The sequence below is a fragment of the Homo sapiens genome, chromosome 1 (genome assembly GCF_000001405.40).
Source record: "Homo sapiens chromosome 1, GRCh38.p14 Primary Assembly".
In the NCBI taxonomy this organism is placed as follows: Eukaryota; Metazoa; Chordata; class Mammalia; order Primates; family Hominidae; genus Homo; species Homo sapiens.
This window is the reverse complement of record NC_000001.11, coordinates 170,314,289-170,316,937: the sequence shown is the minus strand read 5'-3', so window position 1 is coordinate 170,316,937 and position 2,649 is coordinate 170,314,289. Positions and strand designations below refer to the sequence as shown.

At 47.0% G+C, this 2,649-nt stretch overlaps 1 annotated feature.

Annotated features, from left to right (window-relative positions):
• Window positions 1,343-1,844: an enhancer, noted in NCBI's record as "NANOG hESC enhancer chr1:170284235-170284736 (GRCh37/hg19 assembly coordinates)". NCBI's record gives its function as "activates a minimal SCP1, AML or CMV promoter by ChIP-STARR-seq in naive H9 embryonic stem cells {active_cell/tissue: H9 hESC(naive)}" and the evidence as "EXISTENCE:reporter gene assay evidence [ECO:0000049][PMID:30033119]".

The following is a 2,649-nucleotide window of genomic DNA, read 5'->3' as shown; positions in this document are numbered from 1 at the left end:
AATTGAGAAATCTGAGGCTCAGGGAAGTTGGAGAACTTGGTTGAAGTTACCCGCTAACAGGACCTGGGATCTGATCAGCCTGGCTCCTCTTCCATGCCGTGCTGCCACTCAGCCACTGGCAGAGTAGGATGCCCTGCCTTCTGGTGACCTGGGAAGGCTTCGTGGATGAGACAGCTCTAGAGTCGGGTTTGCAGAATGGGTAGAGTTTCAAGCACAGAAATAACAGTGAGGGTACTCCAATTTTTGCCTGAGCTATTTACCTCACCGAACTTATGTCTGTAATTTAACAGAGCCCAAATCTTTCAAGACTTCAGCCTTCAGAACTTCTGCCAAAACAAATTTCAGGCAGGTTAAAGAAAAATGTTTCTGGATTCCTTCAAGACACTCATGTGAAAGGTGCAGGGAAAGCTTGTGTATTTAGGGAAGAAACAGAGGCTGGACAGCAAGATTGCGGCAGCAGACCGGATGCGGTATCCTAAAGAGGCAGGCCATGGCCAGCCCCATGGGCGCTGAGTGTCAGTGTAAGCCTGCAGAAGGTCACAGCCTGGGGGATGTGGCCCCACTCCATGGGGTGGAAAGAAGGAATTTTACTGCCATGAGCCTTTCTGGAGGAAATTCAAAGGCTAAAAACGTAGCCCCTGAGCACTGGAGTTACACCCATGGAGTATAAGTCACTTATCAGTGAATCATTCCTTCAGTGCCAATACACCATGGAAGAAAGTAGGAACCCACAGAAGCTCAGTTTCTCCATCAGTAAAATCAGGGGCCACATGAGTGGGAAGGGTAAAGGCGAGGCTGCAGTCTGCTCTCCTGGCTCCCCGGCCAATGTTCTTTCCCAGCCACAACTATGTCGGCTCCAGGGTTTCTCTACAGAGGGTGGCTGGCAGACAGCCCCTCCACAGTCCTGACCCCAAGGAGCTCTGGAAGGAAGAGGGAGTTAGAAAATTTCCTTTTCTGTCTCTTTAGAAACCCCACTTACATTAGATCCCTCTATGGAAAAATTTCTTTGATTTTGTCTTCAGTCTGATGGCTTTTTAATTTAACCAGTACCTTCATTTATTCATCCATTCAACAAGTATCTGTGAAGCACTTGTTGTGTGCCAGGCACTGCTCTAGTTTCTTTGGAGACAATGATGAAGAAAGGAGACAGCAATCTCTACCTGCATTGGGCTTATATTCTAGGAGATGGAAAGAGATGATCTGTAAATAAGACAAATGTCTGAAAAATATGGTACATTGGAGGCAATGAGTGCAAAGAAAAAAATAAAGAGGAACAGAGGTAGAAAGTTGGTGGACAGGGGAGGCTAAACAAGGGATGGGTAGCCAGTGAAGGCCTCCCTAAAAAGTGTCACCTAGGAAAAGCCCACACAGATACCTGGCGAGAGTATTCCAGGCAAAGCGGCAAAGCAAAGGCCGGAGTAGGAGTGTACTTGGAATGGTAGAGAAACAAAGGCTGGAGTGACCAAGAGGAAGCACACTGGGAGGAAGTGAGAGATGAGGTCCAGAAGGGAGCAAGGAGAGTGCAGATTGTGGCTTCTCTCTACCTGAGAGGGGATGACTGTGGGGAGTTTTGAGCAGAAGAGAAATGTGATGTGCCTTGAGTTTTATCACAATCACTTTGATTATTGTGCAGAGAAGGGAACAATGGTCAGAGCAGGAGCCCAGCTAGGAGGCCATTGTTATTCCCCAGAATTATTGAATTGATTATGCCTAGCTGGTAGTTGGTATTTCCTGTCATTTTTGAGGTCTTCTAAATGCCAAGTGTGATTCTATAGCGTCTCTTTCCTGGGCTCTATAACTTTTTCTCCCTCGGCATAACATGCATGAAACAAACCTCACTATTTATTCCTGCTGCTGGATATCCCTGCTGATTCTGAACAATGACAGCCCTGACACAAAGAACTGCAGATGATGTTGAGTTGAGAGAGTGGGAAGTACCTCATACTGGCTCTTCAACACCTGCTCCAGTCCCCTTTGCATGTGTCTTCCTGTACTTCAGAGACTGGAAAAGCAGAAAGGAGAATGATGCTTTCCAGGTCTCCTGGTAGCTCCAGTTTCTAGGGGGATTTGATTTCCTCCATGCACACACACTGCTGCAAGACTTGGAGGCAGAAGAGAGCACAGGGAGGGGGTGGTCAAGTAGAGAAAGGCGAGATTCTCTGGAAAGGATGGTGTCAAGGAGGAGGAGCCTGGATTCTTTAAGAGGAGCTGACATTCTCCTGTCACAAGTGCCAAGTGGTGAGCAACCAGGCCATGACAGAGGGATGTGCCTCAGAACATCATTTCCCCTGGATGCTGTCCTTGGCCAGTACTCCCCAGCTTGGTAAGTTCCATGGACCATTTAGAAATTCTGTATATTTCCAACAGCCTCTAATAAACCCTGTTTGACTCAATGAGTCTAAGATGGCTGTAGAAGATTCTGCAGTCTAACCTTAGTTTTAGACTTCAGGAAGGACAGGGAAGCAAAGGGGATTTCATCAGTGTTCTGTCCACCTTCTAAGGAGACTTCCTGGAAGCCTCCCACAGAATTTCACTTACATCTTGCTAGCCATAGAAACTTAGTTACATGGCCACACCTAGGTGCAAGGAGGCTGGGAAATGTAGAAGTTTAGCTGGACACCTTTTCATCTCAATAAATAAAGGTTTTCT